Genomic DNA, 21,135 nt, shown 5'->3' with positions numbered 1-21,135 from the left:
TGAGATTGGAAAAGTAGATTGATGTGACATTGAAGAGACCTTTGAATGCCAAGATGAAGGTTTCAAAAGAAATGTGTGTACAGTGGAAAGCTAATGAAATATGCAGAAATTATAAATTTATCTCATTGTATTCTCAAAGAGAATATCACTTCTCATTGTAATAAAGTGACTACATCAGATGCAGGAGATGCTAGAAATGCATGTGTATTAGTCCATTTTCATGCTGCTGATAAAGACATACCCGAGACTGTGTAATTTATAACGAAAAAGAGGTTTAATGGACTCACAGTTCCACGTGGCTGGGGAGGCCTCATAATCATGGTGGAAGGCAAAAGGCACATCTCACATGGCGGGAGACAAGAGAAAAAATGAGATCCAAGCAAAAGGGATTTCCCCTTATAAAACTATCAGGTCTCAGGAGACTTACCCACTACCACGAGAACAGTATGGGGGAATCCTCCCCAATGATTCAGTTATCTCCCACTGGGTCCCTCCTACAACACGTGGGAATTATGGGAGCTACAATACAAAATGAGATGTGGGTGAAGATACAGCCAAATCATATCAGCATGCAGTGAGGAAGCAACCAGAAAGCTTATACTGGAATGCTAACAGCAAAATGAAGAAGAGTCAATACAACATGTCAGAGAAATGTAGAAATGAAGATGTCATTAACCTTGATCTGAGCAGCGGTGGAGGACCATCGTTAGAATCTCAGGAGTTGAAGTCAGAGCAATCAAGGTTCAGTCCCTCGCCATGACGCTCACGTGTCCCATGTCTTGGTCAAGTTATTTAAACCTCTCTAATCAGAGTTTCTTCATCTGTAAAATGAGAATAACAGTTCACACCTTGCAGTTTTCTCTATATGTGTGAGGATTAAACAATGTAATGCATATAAATAATTCACTGTAATTTTATGGTAAGTTGCTCAATAAATATTTGTTATCATCGCATCGTTATACTTTATGGAAAATAATTACCTATTGTACATTGTCCCTTTTTCTCTAGAATGTAAGATCCTTAAGACCAGGGACTTTTGTCTGCTTTTTTCATTGATGTATCCCTGGCACCTATAAAAGATGCTCAATAAATAATGTGTTGAATAAATTATTGTTATTATTTTCACAATGGGAACTGGAAAAATAACAAGGCTTTGGTCAAACTAGACAAGTCAAAAGTGAAACTATTTTGAAGGCCAGAGGATGAAACATATTTTTAGATCATTAATGTTGAGCTCCCATTAAGGTGTTACCTTCCGAAAAGCGTCGCGTCGTCCATTGACTTAGACACGTTACACCTGTTCACTAGAACCAATCAGCAAACCTACCATTCCCACTAAAATGAAGACCTAGAGTATAGTGAAGAATATGCTCACCAGCTCTCAGTACTCAGAAAGGAAAGAGCTTCCTCAGTGTAGGGGAGCACTATTTGATAATAATAGAGACACAGAGAACAGGAATTCGAAGGAGGTTTCAACTCATAGAAGCTAGAAATGAAAGTGATCTGCTTCCAAAGATTATGTGGCCTTTTATGTTGTTCACAATATATAGCACACTCATTTTTTTGGTTTCAATGTCGTTTTAAGATTTTTGTTTAAAATTCTTTTTATGGCATCTTCGTGTTAAAATTAGTTGGTCATCATCACCTCACCCATTCCTTTCTAAATTGTTTCATTTTATTCTTTTAATTAATGTTGAGTGACAATTTAGGGTGGACAAATAGAACCTTTCAAAAGCCAACAGTAACTTATAGCCTACTGAATACAAATAGGGGAAAGAGATGAGAAGAGAGAACATTTGCACAAAGTGATAGGACTGAATATATGAGAAGCGAATCAAAACAGTATTTCAGCAATAAATGTGTTAGGAGGAAGATAGTACTTGTGAGTTAAATAACCAGAAAATAATTATATAAATGTCAGCAAGTCAAATTTATTGTATAGTGAATAATATAACTAAATTGGAATAGCCATTTATATAATCAACTATGGGAGAACAAACCTAAAATGGGAAGATTTACTGAGAACAAATACTTTGAGGTTAAAGATGCTGCCACAACATTTCTGAATGAAATAACACCTTTTATATGGATACTAATGTTACATAATACTAAGTGATTTAGTATCTATGTTCATAGTCTTAGAGCACCATAAACCTTATTGGGAAAGGCAGGTTATACTGGACATTTCAGAGAGTTAATGTTTGAAAAACAAGCTATGGCAAAAAAAAAAAAAGGATAAACAAGATCTAAGAGTTTGATAAATCACTGTCAGAGCTACAATTGGACCAAGATAGCAGGTGTAGAAATAGGGGCCCCCGAGGAGACAGAGGAAGTCGAAGATGAATGGTATCAAATGTTACCTTTAGTGGAAAACAACTTGGACAGAATGCTCTAAGCACTCAGGTTTCTTTATTGCAACTTCCCTTGTCTTTATTTTCCTTCGCCACTTTGAGAGTGATGCTCCGGATCACTGGAGCTCAGCACTGGAGTGAGCCACACAAAGTCTCATTTCAAGATGCTTTGCTTTTTTTTTTTGTAGGCTTCAACCTAACAGAAGGCCATAAAATCGGAACAGTTCATTGTGCTTGGGCAGAAAGCATTGTCACTGAGTTGATAGGCACTACCCTGGTCTCTGCAAAGCCCAGGTTCATCACAGCCAGCTTTATTTTTACCCTGTAGGCATTCTTACAGGATTTGCTAGTGTGAGAGGGAGGCTGAAACATGTCGACTTTGCCCAAGGATGCCCAGTTGAAATCACACTTTGTTGCAGGGGAGATTGTAACTCCTGGTGGCTTTCTTTAAGTTGGGCTTTCTTTGTCTTTTATTTTATTTCAGTTTATCTTCTACAGATTTTACACAATACTTTTCCCCAGAGCTTAACTTTCAGTTTCACCATGTGGAAACTTCGTTGCTTGAAAACTGATAGATCTTTATAAGAAAGGCATATGTCTTTCAGAAAATGAATTCCAGGGTGATCAAGTTTGTGTCTGTGCAACTCCCCACTGGGAAGTAAATGTGACTCTAAATGTTTGGTTTTAGGTATAAAATGACATAAATATAATATCACTACCTCTAAATATTTTTAGAGGTGGAATACGTTACACCTGCTTCCAAAGATTATGTGGCATTAGATATGGAATACGTCACGAAGTGGAATACGTTACATTATAATGTTTTAAATGCCCCAAATGGAATGTTTGAATTTTGATCGAATGTAGTATCTTTGATTTTTTAAGCCCTATATGGTATTACACAAATCTGAAAAGTTCTTAGTCATTTTGCTAATGAATGAAAAAGAATTTGAGCTCTTACTTTATTAAAAGTATTCTGGGCATGTGAGGGATATAGAAATACGTGTCAGAATTTCTGCCTGTAAAAAGTTTTCCATTGAGGTAAAGAAGTAATACTTGTAATAAAAGCAAGTACTACAAAGGTAGTTTATGCGATTAAGCACTAGATTAGTTCTACAATTTAAAAGAGGAAGCACCTGAGAAATCAACTAATTCAACCTCCTTGTTTTAAGGAATGTAAAAGTTGGTCCCAAAGAAGTTATTTTCATAGAATTACAGAAACCAACTCAAACCAAGGTGCCCTGACTCCAAGTTGAAGATTCTGGACTCCAGTCTCACTGTTGGGTTGCTGTAACAGCAGCAGGTGTGAAGCTGGTTGACTGTCACTGGACAGTGGTTACCACTTTGTCTGAGTCCATAAGACAGATCACCCACACAGAGCCAAGAATGTTTAAGTTTGAGTTTCACCATGTAGAAGTGGGTTTATTACTGACAGGCAGCAGGGAACAGTTCCCCAGCTCAAGAAAGCTGCCTGGGATAGATGGGGTCTGTTCTGTACATGCTCCACTTGCACCACAGCTGAGGCATCCCACAAAGCAGCCTGCCCTGGGTTTTTCACAAAGCAGGACACCCTGGTCTAAAGCATGGAAAGACATCCTGTTTTCTGATGTGAGGGGCTGGAACAGAGCCTGTTCCAACCAGCTCCTCTGTTATCACAGGGTGCTGTATTGTCAGCACATTCTACAGTTATTCTTGAGAACTACAAGTGAGAAAGAGGGGAGAACTGGATCAGTCCAAGGCCACCTGGGGAACTGTCCTACACAGGGAAGGATGAAAGCAGGTCGTTGATCCATGACAGCTGAGGTGCCAGGTAAGTTGCATGCTTGTGGTTGACCACAGACGATATATGCTTACTTCACTCGGGGGGAAGGAGGGGGACAGTCTAATAGGCCAGTATTGGCACGGGGAAGGAAGAGGATGCATCCAGTACCCTCCTATAGTGAGTCCTGAAAAGCAGAAAGAAAGGAAAAAGAGAATAAATATGTATTGCATGTCCACTGTGTCCTAGGCCTACTGATTGGTGATTTATATGCAGCAATTAATATTTTCTGAAAGAAAGAATGATTTCATTTATTTCTCACAATAACCTCACAGGTATGATTATTCCTAGCTTAAAAAAAATTAAGGCTTATTCGCTCAGTCAGCAAACGTTCACTCACAGCCTGTTGGGTTCCAGGTCTTGTGTTAGATACAGGGGTACAAAGATGGCCCCCATTGCTACTCTATGAGAAAAGCAGATATATTGAAAATTGAGATCCATAATTTGTATATAAACTCTGCCTCGGAGTTTTACTACCATGAACTCAGAGTAGTTAAAAAATATTGTGAAGATCACAAAGCTTAAAAATGGACAAGTTAGCTTTCCAAACAAGAGCTTTTTAAAAGTACTTTAAAATCCCTACCCTTTCCATTACAAATCACAGCCTGCCATTTGAGAGGGGGGCAGAGAAAATGATGTCACCTAGGTAGAACGTATTTGCGTGAGGAAATGCTGCTAAGAAGAACAGGAGCCCAGTCAAGCACAGTGGAAGAGGCAACAGGAGACAGCTATTTAAATGGATTTAAACCCAAACATTTCGAGTGAATGAGAGATTTTGCACAACAGAGAAGTTTGCAAAATCACAAGAGGCTATGAGAGGAATCATGTACCGTGTCTAGGAGACCAAAAGCAATTAAAGAGAAATTAACCAAGTGCAGCCAAGATCATTTTTCTTTAATGCAGAATTCATATAAAATCACATTCTCTTCCCTGTTCTTTCTTCTGTCTCATACACACCCTCACATATGTGCTACAACCCAGGGGTTCAAAGTCCTTCCCCTGCCTCTCCCTGCTTCCAGTCCCTGCAATACATGCAGACCTGCCCAGAAGTCTCTTTGAAATCCATGGACAGAGTGGAGGACTGCGGATATATCTAATTTCAAAAGTCATGGCCCTATTCTGTGCTGTTATGGACTAGGGCGTTATGCTGAAGTAGCCCAGAGACTCCTTTTGAAATCAGGATGCTTGTGAGTCTGAGAGTTAGGCATGCCTGTGGAGTGTGGAAAACAAGAAACACCTATTATGAATCATTTATTCCCCCCTTTGGCTTAAATTGTGTGTGTGTTTTTTTTTTTTTCAAATTATCATTATACTTTAAGTTCTGGGATATATGTGCAGAACATGCAGGTTTGTTACATGGGTATGCATGTGCCATGGTGGTTTGCTGCACCCATCAACCCGTCATCTACATTAGGTAATTCTCCTAACGCTATTCCTCCCCTAGCCCTTCACCCCACCACAGGCCCTGATGTGTGATGTTCCCCTCCCTGTGTCCATGTGTTCTCATTGTTCAACTCCTCAATTCCCACTTATGAGTGAGTGAGAACGTGTGGTGTTTGGTTTTCTGTTCTTATGTTAGTTTGCTGAAAATGATGGTTTCCAGCTTCATCCATGTCCCTGCAAAGGACGTGAACTCATCCTTTTTTATGGCTGCATAGTATTCCTTGGTGTATATTTGCAACATTTTCTTCATCCAGTCTATCATTGATGGTTCTAAGTCTTTGGTATTGTGAATAGTGCTGCAATAAACATATGTGTGCATGTGTCTTTATAGTAGAATGATTTACAATCCTTTGGGTATATATTCAGTAGCAGTAATGGGTTCTACTATAATCGCATTACTGGTGTTTACCATTCTTAAGTGAGGCAGCCTTTTGAAAAACTGAGGCATGTGAACTTGTGTTGAATATGTAAATGCAAGAATCTCAGTGTTTATATATAAAACAACAGTAATGAAAAAGTAGAATTGCCCTCGGAGTTGATATGGTTTGGCTGTGTCCCCATTCAAATCTCAACTGGAATTATATCTCCCAGAATTCCCACATGTTGTGGGAGGGACTCAGGGGGAGGTAATTGAATCATGGAAGCCAGTCTTTCCTGTGCTATTCTTGTGATAGTGAATAAGTCTCACGAGATCTCATGGGTTTATCTGAGATTTCCGCTTTTGCTTCTTCCTCATTTTCTCTTGCTGCCATGATGTAAGAAGTGCCTTTCCCCTCCTGCCATGATTCTGAGGCCTCCCCAGCCATATGGAACTGTAAGTCCAATTAAACATCTTTTTCTTTCCAGTCTCAGGTATGTCTTCATGAGCAGCATAAAATGGACCAGTACAGCAGTTTTGTAATTCTGTTACAGATGAGTACTAACAACACTGGCCTATAATGTTTGAACATACACGTAGCTATAGTGAAATAAGCACAGTGGAAATGAGTAGAGGGCTTGTGGCTATTGTGTTCACTTTTCCAAACCCCTAGAGCAAACAGAACAAAATACTGAATACTGCCCCCACCCTGCAAATAAATGACAACTCAGGGCTACAAAAGGGTCAGTTGTTTCAGGGGTCCCAATTCACTCCAAATACTTTCTGTGCCCTGAGATAATGTGACCAAAATATTAAACTGTAAAAATCACAGAACCTTAAAATGTTTTAGACTCAAGACAATGTTAGAGATCATCTCGTTCAGTGATTGTTAATCTTTTGGGGAACGGAAATAATCTAATGTAATTTGGTCACTCTCTCCCTGAAAAACATGCACATATGCATGTTAATACAAATTTTCATACAATTCTAGGGAGTTCAGGATTTTCTGAAACTCCTTATTGCCAGATTAAGAATTCCAGAGCTCATGAAACCCTCACTTAAATCAAAACTCCTCACTTTGCAGAATTCACGTGCCTTGCGCAGGGTCACATGGCTACCTGGTTGGAGCAGAACATAAGGCAATACTTAGCCCACATCTGATTAGACTTACCACTCAAACTACAGCAACGCTTTATCCGAGGGACTTAAAATCACCTCCTAAAGTTAATGATGAGGTTTCTTCTTGTTCTAACTTATGATTTTGCCTTCTCTAGCTCCATTAGTAACTTTTTAGATAGGCTTGAACTAAAAGAGATTTTTTAATTAGGTGGTACTATTTCCATTTGATTAACTGCATTTTCTGTTCTGCTGTTTCTATTGTATTTTTTTAAGTTTTCTTATTATTTTGAAATGCCAAGGTAATATATCTCTTTAAGAGGTGGTAGAAAATATTTTAAGACCACTCACGATCATCTCAGGGATAGTCCTCAGAGTATCACATATTCATGCTGCCACATTAAATTGCTTTAATGTAAAATGAGATTCTAGAGTAGATAGGCTTTAAAATATCGGAGGCAGTATCAGTTCTATCAAAAGTCACAGGTTGGTAATCTAAAGTAGATATTGTCAGGTTTTCTGATGAGGTAGGCATGCTAATCTCAATACAGAGATTTAAAGAATGACTGTCCTAGGACCAGCAGGTGACTGGAGGTTACAATGCTTTTACCATTGCAATAATGGAGATTTTTAATATACTAATATACAGCCATTGTCTTTTCATTTTAGCAACACCAATGGCAGGAAAAAAGTAACATAAATCTGAGTTATGGACATGTGATCTTTTTCTAATCTCATTTTTCTCTTCTCAGCCAGCAGTTGGGTTCATCATAACTCTTTTGTTCTCCGTTTGTGCCTTGAAAATAGTCCTATCATTGATTTATTAGGCCACATATTATTTGTTTATTTTTCTGTCTCCTCAAATAGACTCTTAGCTTATTAATCACTGAGGCTCTGTCCTTTGATACTTTGAAAGCACAGTAACTAGCCCAGTGCCCAACGCATACTAAATGCTGGATAAATATCTGTTGAATTAATAACTAAGGGAAGTAAATTATATTAATTTTCTGCATACTCCATTAACTGAAGACATAACCAAACAATCACAGAAAAACTTTAATAAAAACTACAACAAAGAGATATTTTTTTTGCCATCCCTTCATTAAAATTGTTTGTCATGGTGCATTCTGCTACACCAGAAAACAAAAATGAAACAAGGGGACAGGACCATTGTTCCTTCAGAGGTAGAAGAGATTGACAAGGTCATAAACTTACAGATTCGCTGAAATTGATTAGGATATTTGAGAAGGGAATTCTGAAAGATTTGGTAGAAATTAGATTTTCCTTCTATCTCCCAATAAACCAAAGAGACTGAGTTTCCAAACACAAATGCTACAAATACAGCTTAAGGTAGAATTGTCCTGAGACTTCATCATTATTTATCAGAGGTTGGATTAACAGTTCAGGACAGATCTTACTGACACATGAGATATTCAAGGACAAAGCTATGTTTCATAAGACATCTTTGTATCCCCAGTACTAAGTATATAATCTGGAACACAGGTGTTTTATATACATCATACACAAACACACACATACATATACATCTTATATTTAGATATAGATATACACCATATAGATATAGATAATTATAAACATCATGTAGATATAGATGTATATATGTGTATGTGCGTGTATATATATATATATATATATATATATATGTACATCAAGTTGTGTTATATTGGTGTTCACCTGTGTAAAGTCATTTTTGAGATGGTAGAAAATTCTACCATCAACTTTATCTCTTCTATCCAACTGCCTAAGAATCTGAGACACCCATTGCTATAAATTCATCTCTTTAAGTTTTTCTTCTAGTACTTGGAGTTTTTAAAAATCGAAGAGTTAAATAACATTCTGCAGAATTTCTTAAAACATGTAGCATGGTATTGTGTCTTGTGACACAATATCCAAGAGGGAAGATATATTCCACCAGCTTTTCCAAACGTATCTGACCCAAAAACTTTTATCAGAAAACATATTTTTTGAATACTGTTGTACAGATCACCCATTAGCAATGAATACAATTAACTAATGTATTGTAGTGTGTTTGCCATAAATAAAGTTTAGGGAGCCTTACTGTATAGAGAAACTCTTGAGAAGGTACTTAAAATAAAAGGAAAGAAAAGGAAGAGATCATAAGAGTAAATTCTGTTATTTTGCAGTGAATGTGTTATTTCCTCAAAGCCCTCGCTCCTCTTCCTTTCCTTGGGAGACTGGAGCATGAAATATACTCATGTTCTCAGGCTGTGGTTGCTACAAATTACTATAACAACAATAATCATTCATGGTTATTGAGCACTGTCAAAAAACAATGTGAACACTTTTATGGTTCTGCATGGTCATGACTTTCTGAGCAAAAATTATTGGCAACATGGCTGAAAGGATAAGTGAATGGTAAAAACCGTGAAAGCTAAAACAGTGAAATATCCTGGGGAGATGTACAGGTTTCCTCTATTTTGGTGCCACGTGTTCATGTTTCAAAGAATTGTCAATACCAAAGGACCTTCTCGCGTTTGTCTCAGAGAAGACTTGTTTACATCACAGACCAAAAATTTTTCTGTTTTTCTTAGGAAGCAGGAACGGTAGCTGTTTAGCTCCTACATAAGCTCTGAGGTTCGTAATTGCAAGCCTTCTTTCTCTCCTGTGTACAAATCTTGCTTTGCATGCACAGGAAATATCTGCCCTCATCATTTTGCTCCATGGAGGACTGCGGATGGGAAACTGATGCTAAGATCAGCAATAAGTAATCAGTCTGCTTCTGATCCAGAAACCTTTGTTAACTGTCAGGATAAAATAAATAAATAGAGACATGAAAAACATGTCAAGGCTTTATTACATTCCAGGTACTGTGCTAAGAGCTTTGTGTACAATATCAAGTTTAATCTTCACAGTGTGAGCATATGAGGTAAGTATTAAGACTGATTTATAGATGATGAGGCTGGCGGTCAGAACTGCTAAGTGACCAGTCAACCCAGGTTCACACTGCTCATAATCAGTCGGGATGCACTTCTAACCCAAGTCGGAAGGATTCATACTCGTTCTCTTAGGATGTAGCTTCTTACAAGGAGTGATTCTATCTGTTTTGTTCATTGATGTATCCCCAATGCCAAGAAGAAGGTTTTGTGTTCAGTAAGTGCTCAAAAAACATGTGTTGACTGATTATTTTATTATTCTGAGGAATAAGAAACGTGGGTAACATTCTTGGGAACTAAATTCCAGTTAGCAAGTCACTAAAATTGCCATTATATAGGTTATGTTTAATTCAACCATGTAGTCTTCTAAAATTTTTAAAGAACACATCAGGGAAATACTTAGAACCTTAAAATAAGTCATAGATAGCACTTAGATTTGGTATATATGGCTTGTATTTAAGCTGAATTCATTCTAAATGGAGTGAAAGAAGTACATTTGTAGTTACACATTAAACAAATAACATTTTTAGGCCCGGTGTGGTGGCTCACAGCTGTAATCGCAGCACTTTGGGAGGCCAAGGCGGTCAAATCGCCTGAGGTCAGGAGTTCAAGACCAGCCTTGCCAACATGGCAAAACCCCGTCTCTACTAAAAATACAAATATTAGCTGGGTGTGGGGGCATGTGCCTGTAATCCTAGCTACTCAGGACACTGGGGTAGGAGAATCGCTTGAACCCGGGAGGCAGGGGTTGCAGTGAGCCGAGATCCTGCCACTGCACGCTAGCCTGGGAGACAAAGCAAGATGCCATCTAAAAAAAAAAAAATTTTGTCTCATAACAGAGGAAAGATTAATTCTTTGCATTATAATTAGTATAACAGATTTCTAAGAAAGTAATAAAATGTAGTTCAGTTTGGCTGATTATATTAGAATAAAATGTACATGAATAAAATCTGCATACAAATAGAAAGGAAGGAGGACTTGACCTTAGCTAGTAAATTTATTTACTTCATATTTCCATGAAATGTATTAATTACCACAATGAATTGTGTTAAAATATATAATCCAATTCCTAGTCTACTCAACCTTTAGAATATAGAGTTAGAACTATGTATCTGGACATACAGAAACTGAAGCAGATTGATGTATATATGTGTGTGTGTATATATATATATATAAAACATATAGCTGTTTGCAACCAAAGAACATATGAACAATAAATTTGGATACTGGCTACGTGGCTGTGATAATTAATGCCAAACTAGGGAACAACTTCCACTAATGGAAAATATAAACACAGGTTTTAATTGGACTAAAGGGACTCCTAGTCCCATTAATAACGGATTTTGAAACACACAAAATACATGTCCTCTAGCAACCACTTTCAATACAACAGTGGACCAAAAAGAATTTTTTACTTCAACCTTAATTCCTATATGAGCACTGCATTTGCCATTAAATTACTGACTTTACTTCTTGTTTATGTCATTAACTTAGGCTTAGGGACTGCATAAATTTTTATTTCTCACTTTGGCGTTGGCATCCAAGTGGATAGATGATAAATTTAGAGACAGCCATTATTGTTTCTTTCAAAGGATAAAAATTATAAGCACAATGGAATTTTCTCTAGAAAAACAGGCTAAAAGTGTTTTTCTATTTATTCTGAGACTTTCTGAGCAGGACCTATTTTTTTCATACCAGATTATAAAACTATTGATTTTTAACTAGGAATTAAGAAACTTCAGAAATTAGAAACCTACCATCCTTTTTTCTCTTCCATGCCCTAATAGCATCTTATTCTTTCACTAAATTGACATTTTAAAATAATTTCATCTTTGAACTTTCTAGGCTCTTTACTCCTAGACTTGGAGTTAGTTTCTTGCTACATATCTCAAAGACTTTTCATTCTTTGCTTCTGCTCCTGAGTTTTTGTGTGTGTGTGTGGTTATTTATTGATTTATTTTTTTAAATTATACTTTAAGTTCTAGGGTACATGTGTACAACGTGCAGGTTTGTTACATATGTATACATGTGCCATGTTGGTGTGCTGCACCCATTAACTCATCACTTACATTAGGCATGTCTCCTAATGCTTTCCCTCCCTCCTTCCCCCACCCCACAACAAGTCCCAGTGTGTGATGTTCCCCTTCCTGTGTCCAAGTGTTCTCATTGTTCAGTTCCCACCTATGAGTGAGAGTATGCGGTGTTTGTTTTTTTGGTCTTGCGATAGTTTGCTGAGAATGATGGTTTCCAGCTTCATCCATGTCCCTACAAAGGACATGAACTCATCATTTTTTATGGCTGCATAGTATTCCATGGTGTATATGTGCCACATTTTCTTAATCCAGTCTATCATTGATGGACATTTGGGTTGGTTCCAAGTCTTTGCTATTGTGAGTAGTGCCACAGTAAACGTATGTGTGCATGTGCCTTTATAGCAGCACGATTTATAACCCTTTGGGTATATACCCAGTAATGGGATGGCTGGGTCAAATGGTATTTCTAGTTCTAGATCCCTGAGGAATCGCCACACTGTCTTCCACAATGGTTGAACTAGTTTACATTCCTACCAACAGTGTAAAAGTGTTCCTATTTCTCCACATCCTCTCCAGCACCTGTTGTTTCCTGACTTTTTAATGATCACCATTCTAACTGGTGTGAGATGGTATCTCATTGTGGTTTTGATTTGCATTTCTCTGATGGCCAGTGATGATGAGCATTTTGTCATGTATCTGTTGGCTGCATAAATGTCTTTTTTTGAGAAATGTCTGTTCATATCCTTCACCCACTTGTTGATGGGGTCGTTTGTTTTTTTTCTTGTAAATTTGTTTGAGTTCTTTGTAGATTCTGGATATTAGCCCTTTGTCAGATGAGTAGATTGCAAAAATTTTCTCCCATTCTGTGGGTTGCCTGTTCACTCAGGGATGCCCTCACTCACCACTTCTATCCAACATAGTGTTGGAGTTCTGGCCAGGGCAATCAGGCAGGAGAAAGAAATAAAGGGTATTCCATTAGGAAAAGAGGAAGTCAAATTGTCCCTGTTTGCAGATGACATGATTGTATATTTAGAAAACCCCATCATCTCAGCCCAAAATCTCCTTAAGCTGATAAGGAACTTCACCAAAGTCTCAGGATATAAAATCAATGTGCAAAAATCACAAGCATTCCTATACACCAATAACAGACAAACAGAGAGCCAAATCATGAGTGAACTCCCATTCACAATTGCTTCAAAGAGAAGAAAATACCTAGGAATCCAACTTACAAGGGATGTGAAGGACCTCTTCAAGGAGAACTACAAACCACTGCTCAGTGAAATAAAAGAGGATACAAACAAGTGGAAGAACATTCCATGTTCATGGGTAGGAAGAATCAATATCGTGAAAATGGCCATACTGCCCAAGGTAATTTATAGATTCAATGCCATCCCCATTGAGCTACCAATGACTTTCCTCACAGAATTGGAAAAAAACTACTTTAAAGTTCATATGGAACCAAAAAAGAGCCTGCATTGCCAAGACAATCCTAAGCCAAAAGAACAAAGCTGGAGTCATCACGCTACCTGATTTCAAACTATACTACAAGGCTACAGTAAACAAAACAGCATGGTACTGGTACCAAAACAGAGATATAGACCAATGGAACAGAACAGGGCCCTCAGAAATAATACCACACATCTACAACCATCTGATCTTTGACAAACCTGACAAAAACAAGAAATGGGGAAAGGATTCCCTATTTAATAAATGGTGCTGCGAAAACTGGCTAGCTCCTGAGTTTTTTTAAAGTAAAGGTTTCCATTGAAAGGTCAACTTCCTGGAGCTGAAAGTGGGCCAACATTTGGATTTGAACGTGGAGACTTTATCACTCAAAACTCTGAAAAGAGGGGTAATGGTAGAAGGTGGGTCACAGTCATGATATATAGTTGAATCTGGAAACTGAGCTATCCTGGCATTATAGTTATGACTTTATTAAAATAGAAGCCTTCTAAAACTCTGAATGACAAAGTATTTGGGATGGTTTCCAAGCACTGGTATGGGGTGCAAAATGAATCCAAGAAAGTTCACATTGGGTGAATATCCCCATAAATGCAAAGTATAAGTCTCAAAGGTAAATGATATATCCGGAGGTGCTAAACCAAAATTTCTTGCTTACAATAACAAAATCTGTGCACAGGCTAGGAAGATATTTTCAGGGCACAGACAAAGGCTCTTTTAGACAAGTGATATTCGCAGGAGGTGGTCTATTGATACAACTGGAGGGAGAGAGAGACTTTACATTATGAACAACTATAGAATTGGCTATCTCCATCCACTAGCAAAGAAGTAAAGCATAAGAGAATAAATAGTAAGTCATGATTGCAGTTCCTGCCAGTCTGGAATACAACCTTAGACTCTTCTTTCATGCAAACTCCTGGTAAAGATTTGTTTAAAGAAAAACTGATTTTAAAAACTGATAAATAATTTTAAAAGAAGTCAAAATAACTTCTAAACCAAGATACTACAGGAAGAGATGGGGTTTGAAAAAGCAAAAATAAATGGCAGACAAAGAATACTCACCAGAAAATGGTTGTTACAGGCCAGACAAAAGTTATTATAAAATGCCTTCCATGAATTAAAAAAATTTAGTCAATTTGACTCTGAAGCTAGAACACTAAACAAAGACAGAGAAAGTCAGGTGAGTGATAACAAGACAACAGAAAAAGATTAAATGTGAGTTCGGCTGGCAGATCTCAGAAAATGGAAGGGGAAAAATCACAGAACTTCGGGACAAATTAGAAGCAACACAAATGATGATTAATATTGCTAAACAGTAAGGAACATGGGGGAAAGACGAAAATCAGGAAAGTGAAATGGAATTTGATAAAGAATTTAAAAGAATAAAAGAAAATGATAGATACAGAAGAAAGGCAGATGAGATCCAATGTACGTATAATTAGTCTGACAAAAAGAAACAATGACAATAAAAACTAATACATAATCCAATACATTTAAATGTGTAGTACAATAAAGCTCTTGAGAAATAAATAAATGCTTCAATTTACAGTTTGGAAAAGCACATATGCCATAAGAAAAAACTGAATGATTTCAGTTATCTTAATAAGTTACGTGATTTTTTAAAAAAAAAGACATAATCCCTTTTCAAATGTGAGAAAAAAATCAAATTATCGTTTGATTTAAAATAATTACCTTCAGCCTCAGATTTATCCACTACAGCATACACTGCCAGCAGACAGTAGAACAATAGCTTTTAAACATTTCTCAAGGAAATAAGCAGTGACTTAAGAATCTTACAGTCAGACAAACAGTGATAAAAGAATGAAAAATCAGACCTACCTTATTTAACATAGAAAAAAAACTAGTTATTATTAAATTCAGTGTGAAGATTTCAATAAATGTGGGAATTGCAGTTATATAACAGTGTTCATATCTTATAAACCTTTACAATCAAGAAATGATATAGCCCAAAAAAGTGAGGGAGGGAAGGGAGAGGAAAAGTAGAAGTATAAAACTGCAAGTTTATCCATTTTTAACAGCTAAAATTAAAAGCATATCATTTAAAGTTAGAAATTAAGTGACAGAGGTGAAAGTATATGTGACAATAAACATGTATTTAATTGGCAATATAAATGAACTAAAATTTGATTATTTAAATGGTGTAAGTGGAAGGAAGATAGATAGATTAATATATAATAGGAAGTCACGCAAAAGAATTGTAAAGGTTTACAGTCCTAAGAAGTCAACCAAAAAAGTATTTAAAATTTTAAAGAACGTATTTAGACTACAGGGAGTGGAAAAGGGTAAGACAGAGAACCATGTATTTTATATATGTCTAGTACCAATCTTATATTAATTTTTTTTTTTTTTTTGAGATGGAGTCTCACTCTGTTGCCCAGGCTGGAGTGCGGTGGTGTGATCCCAGCTCACTGCAACCTCCACCTCCCAGATTCAAGGGATTCTGCTGCCTCAGCATCCGAGTAGCTGGGATTACAGGCACCCGCCAGCGCAATTTTTTTTTTTTTAAGTATTTTTAGTAGAGGCAGAGTTTCACCACAATGGTCAGGCTTGTCTTGAACTCCTGACCTCAAGCATTCCACCCACCTTAGCCTCCCAAAGTGCTGGGATTACAGGCATGTACTACCATGCCCAGCTGTGTTACTTTTAAACTTTGTGATTATACCATTTTGAAAACAAAAAAAAATAATTTTATAATGAAATTAAACAATAGTATGAGAATAAATGAAGCAAATGCAAACAGAAAGAAAACAAAGCTTTTGATCATAATATAAGACCAAGTTAAGTTCAAGTCAGAAAAAAACTGAAATAAAGTTACTTTATATAGCTAAAGAGTGGAATTTGCAATGACTGTAGAACAGTTTGGAACTTACATACACTAAATAAATACACTGTAAACTATCAAAAAGCAAAATCTTTGAATGTAAGAAGAAGAAATATGCAAAAATACATCAATATCAGAAAATTATAATTCTTTCAGTCCATGATAGATGAAGTAAATAAAAAATAAGTGATTTATAAAACCTAAACACATAATTAATAAAGTGGAACACATTGACACTCTTCTCCAAACCCCACAACGCACACATACATCCCCCATACACACTGAAAGTAGAGACTGTATCTTCTCTCCTAGCTGCACAGAGCATTCCAAAAATATTTTACCATATTAGGTACAAAAAATTCCATAAATTATAATTATTTAAAACAACATTGTCTGGTTACAATAAAATAAAACTTGAACTTATCAACAAGATATGAGGGGAATGTATAAAACAATGCTCAGAAAAAGTTATAATCTTCAAAGAAATTAAAATTACTAGAAAACCCACTCAAGAAGTTAGTAACAAGATTAAAAAACCAAACTAGCAAATAAACATAAAGGCAGGAATCAATGAAATAGAAAAGAGAAAAAGTGTGAACTAATGATATATTCCAATTCTTCCATTAAAAAAATCAGCAAAACAGTTGAATCCTCATATAAATTAATAAAAGGAGAAAAAGCATAAATTCTAAAATAGTAATTGCTACAGGAAAAATAACAGAGACATAGAAGATATTCTAAGAATCATAGAAAATGACTTTTTCAACTCTACGTAAATAAGTTTACAAACCTGAATGTAAAGGATGATTTTCTTTAAAAATATCACTTATGAAAGTGATTTCAAAAAGGATAAGTCTAAAAAGATGAGTTACCATAAAAGAAAAATTAAAAGTTACTGAAGAGTAGCATGAAAGATGAAAATTATCCCCCAAAAAATTGTTTATGAAAGGAAAGTAACAATGTTGTAAATGAGACATAAAGTCCAGCTTACAGTCATGCTTCCCTATACTTGGGGGATTGGTTACATGACCCTTGCATGTCCTAACCTGTGCATACTTAAGTCCCACAACCAGTCCTGGGGAACCTGTGCACATGAAAAGTCAGTTCTCTGTATATGCAAGTTTAACATCTCATGAATACTGTATAAAAATCTGCTTATAAATAAACCTTACTGTAAAAACCCTTGTTGTTCAAGGGTAAACTGTACTATGTAAATGGTAGCATACAAAGAAAAGGAAATGACCTTAATCATTAAAGTAGGTTGTATAAATAAATTACCAGAAAAACAGGCCAACAGAATACTGAATGAATTAACTCAATAAGACTAGGAATGAAAAGTTGTTTCAATGATAGGAAATATATGAAATATGCCATATCCATAGAAAAAAGAAAATTCAATGATTACCCAGCTGCTAAAAAGGCATATAATAAAATGTATTGTTATTCTTAATGAAAACTTGTTAAAAAGGAATAAATAGGCACTTACCTTGCAATAGATAATGTTGAAACATACCTGTTTCAGTCTAAAAAACAGTATTGTTCTTAACTGAGAAATGAAAGACACCTTCCCACGGAGGCAGAAAGAGAACAAAGGTATCCGCTATGGTCACTACAGATTTGTTCTGGCAGAACTATTCAACACAATGAGACAAGAGAAAGAAATTGATGACACAGTAACTAAAAAGAAAGAGTGTACTGATTATTAATTTTGTTTGGAAAACCTAGGAATAAATTTAGTATGAAAGTGCAAGGTCAATATGAAGAAAGTAATTTTATTAATAAATAAAAATGAAGAATTGAAAAAATGAAAACTTATGTAATGTGCTCTGACAAGAAGTTTTAATATCGGTAAGATTTCAACTTTTACCTGGAATTAGACAACGTGAAAAAGAAAGTAATGAGGAGAGTCGGGAAGAGTACTATAAGAAAAATATAAAACCATAAAAGCTAATTCATTGTGATACTCATAAATAGTATGATAGACAAATTGAACTGAAAAGAATGTGTAGAAATAAATTTGAATGCACATATACTTTGATAAATATGATTTTCAGACTACAGTGGAAAAAATGAACTGATCAGTAAACGTTCTCTATATTAATGGTAGTCATCTAGGAAAAAATTGAGTTTATATCTCACACTTTAAAACACCTTTTTTTTTTTTAACTTTTAAGTTCAGGGGTACATGTGCATGTTTGTTATATAGGTAAACTTGTAACAACGGGGTTTGTTGTACAGATTGTTTTGTCACCCGGGTATTAAGCCTAGTACCCATTAGTTATTTTCTGTGGTCATTTCTCTCCTCCCACCCTCTACCTTTTGTTAGGTCCTAGTGTCTCTTGTTCTACCTCTCTGTGTCCATGTGTTCTCATAATTTAGCTCCACTTACAAATGAGACTGTGTGGTATTTGGTTTTCTGTTCCTGCATTGATTGGCTAAGGATAATGGCCTCCAGCTCCGTCCATCTTCCTGCATTATTTTTTATGGCTGCATAGTATTCCGTGGACTACCACATTTTCTTCATCCAGTCTACCGTTGCTGGGCATTTAGGTTAATTCCTTGTCTTTGTTAATGTGAATAGTGCTGGAATAAACGTATGTGTGTATGTGTCTTCATGTTAAAATGATTTATATTCCTTTTGGTATATACCCAGTAATGAGATTGCTGGTCAAATGGTATTTCTGTCTTTAGGTCTTTGAGGAATTGCCACATTGTTTTCCACAATGGTTGAACTAATTTACACTCCCATCAACAGCGTATAAATGTTCCTTTTTCTCCGCAACCTTGCCAGCACCTGTTATTTTTTGACTTTTTAGCAAGAGCCATTCTGACTGGTGTGAGATAGTATCTCATTGTGGTTTTGATTTGCATTTTTCTAATGATCAGTGATGTTGAGCTTTTACTTATATGCTTGTTGGTCACATGTATATCTTCTTTTGAAAAGCGTCTGTTCATGTCCATTCCCTGTTTTTTTACTTCCGATTATGTGATCAATTTTAGAGTAAGTGCCATGTCATGATGAGAACAATGTATATTCTGCTGTTTTTGAATGGAGAGTTTGTAGATATCTATCACATCCATTTAATCCAGTGATGAGTTCCAATCTGGGATATCTTTGTTAATTTTTGGTTTGATGATCTATCTAATACTGTCATTGGGGTGTTGAAGTCTCTCACTATTATTGTGTGGGAGTAAAAGTCTCTTTAAAGGTCTCTAAGAACTTGCTTTAGGAATGTGGGTGCTCCTGTGTTGGGTGCATATATATATTTAGTATAGTTAGGTCTTGTTGAATTGAACCCTTTACCCTTATGTAAGGCCCTTCTTTGCCTTCTTTGGTCTTTGTTGGTTTAAAGTCTGTTTTGTCTGAAATTAAGATTGCAACCTTTGCTTTTTTCTGTTCTCCATTTGCTTGGTAGATTTTCCTCCAGATCTTTATTTTGAGCCTGTTGGTGTCATTGCATGTGAGATGGGTCTCTTGAAGACAGCATGCCAATGGGTCATAGTTCTTTATCCAGCTTGCCACTCTGTGTCTTTTGATTGGGACATTTAGCCCATTTACCTTCAAGGTTAGGATTGTTATATGTGGATTTGATCCTGTCATCATGATGTTAGCTGGTTATATGCAGACTTGTTTGTGTGGCTGATGTGTAGTGTCACAGGTCTGTGTACTTCAGTGTATTTTTGTTGTTTTTGGTAACAGTCTTTCCATATTCAGTGTTTCCTTCAGGTGGGTAAGGTGGGTCTTGTGGGAATGAATTCCCTCAGTATTTGCTTGCCTAGAAAGGATCTTGTTCCTCCTTTGCTTATGAAGCTTAATTTGGCCAGATGTGAATTCTTGGTTGGAATTTCTTTTATTTAAGAATGTTCAGTGCTGGCCCTCAATCTCTTCTGCCTTGTGGGTTTTCTGCTGAGCAATCCACTGTTAGTCTGATGGGCTTCCGTTTGTAGGTGACTTGACCTTTCTCTCTAGCTCCCTTCAACATACTGTTTTTTCATTTTGACCTTGGAGAATCTGATGACTATGTGTCTTGGGCATAATCTTCTTTGAAGTATCTTACTGGAGTTCTCTCCATTTCCTGAATTTGAATGTTGGCCTGTCTAGCTAGGTTGGGGACGTTCTCATGGATAATATCCTGCAGTATGTTTTCCAAGTTGCTCACACTCTCTCCATCTCTTTCAGAGACACCAATGAATCATATATTTGATCTCTTTACATAATTCCACATTTCTTGTAGATTTTGTTTGTCCCTTTTCATTCTTTTTTCTCTATTCTCTTGTCTGACTGTCTTATTTCAGAAAGCCTGAAATTCTTTCCTGAGCTTGGTCTATTCTGATATTAACACTTGTGATTATATTATGAAATTCTTGCAGTGTGTTTTTCAGCTCTATCAGGTTGTTATCAGGTTCTTTTCTATACTGGCTATTTTGTCTGTCTGTTCCCATATCATTTTGTTGTAATTCTTTGCTTTCTAGATTGAGTTTCAATGTACTCCTGCATCTCAACGATCTTTTTTTCTATCCATATTCTGGTTGCTATTTCTGTCATTTCACCCATCTCAGCCGAGTTCAGAACCTTTTTGGAAATGTAGTATGGTTGTTTGGAGGAAAGAAGGTACTCTGGCTTTTGGAATTGTCAGAGTTCTTGCAGTGGTTCTTTCTCATCTTTGTGGGCTTATGTTTCTTCATTGTTTGAAGTTGATGACCTTTGGATGTTTTTTCTTTTCTTTTATCCTATTTGTTGACCTTCAGGGTTTGATTGTAGTATAAGGTGGGTTTAGCTGACTGGCTTCACTTCTG

The 21,135-nt window shown here is 36.4% G+C and overlaps 1 protein-coding gene across 1 annotated transcript in view; it reads right to left on the bottom strand.

The window, feature by feature from the left end:
* Nucleotides 1-253: 253 nt before the first annotated feature.
* The window catches only part of TUSC3 (tumor suppressor candidate 3), a 434,904-nt gene continuing 414,022 nt past the window's right edge, over nt 254-21,135 (bottom strand). The window contains exon 9 of the mRNA NM_001413685.1: nt 254-821. Coding sequence (NP_001400614.1) covers nt 793-821 — 29 coding nt within the window. The 3' untranslated portion in view covers nt 254-792. The remainder of the gene's footprint in view (nt 822-21,135) is intronic.

This window comes from Homo sapiens, chromosome 8 (genome assembly GCF_000001405.40).
Source record: "Homo sapiens chromosome 8, GRCh38.p14 Primary Assembly".
In the NCBI taxonomy this organism is placed as follows: Eukaryota; Metazoa; Chordata; class Mammalia; order Primates; family Hominidae; genus Homo; species Homo sapiens.
The sequence above is the reverse complement of the archived record's forward strand: the minus strand, read 5'-3'. Positions and strand labels throughout refer to the sequence as shown.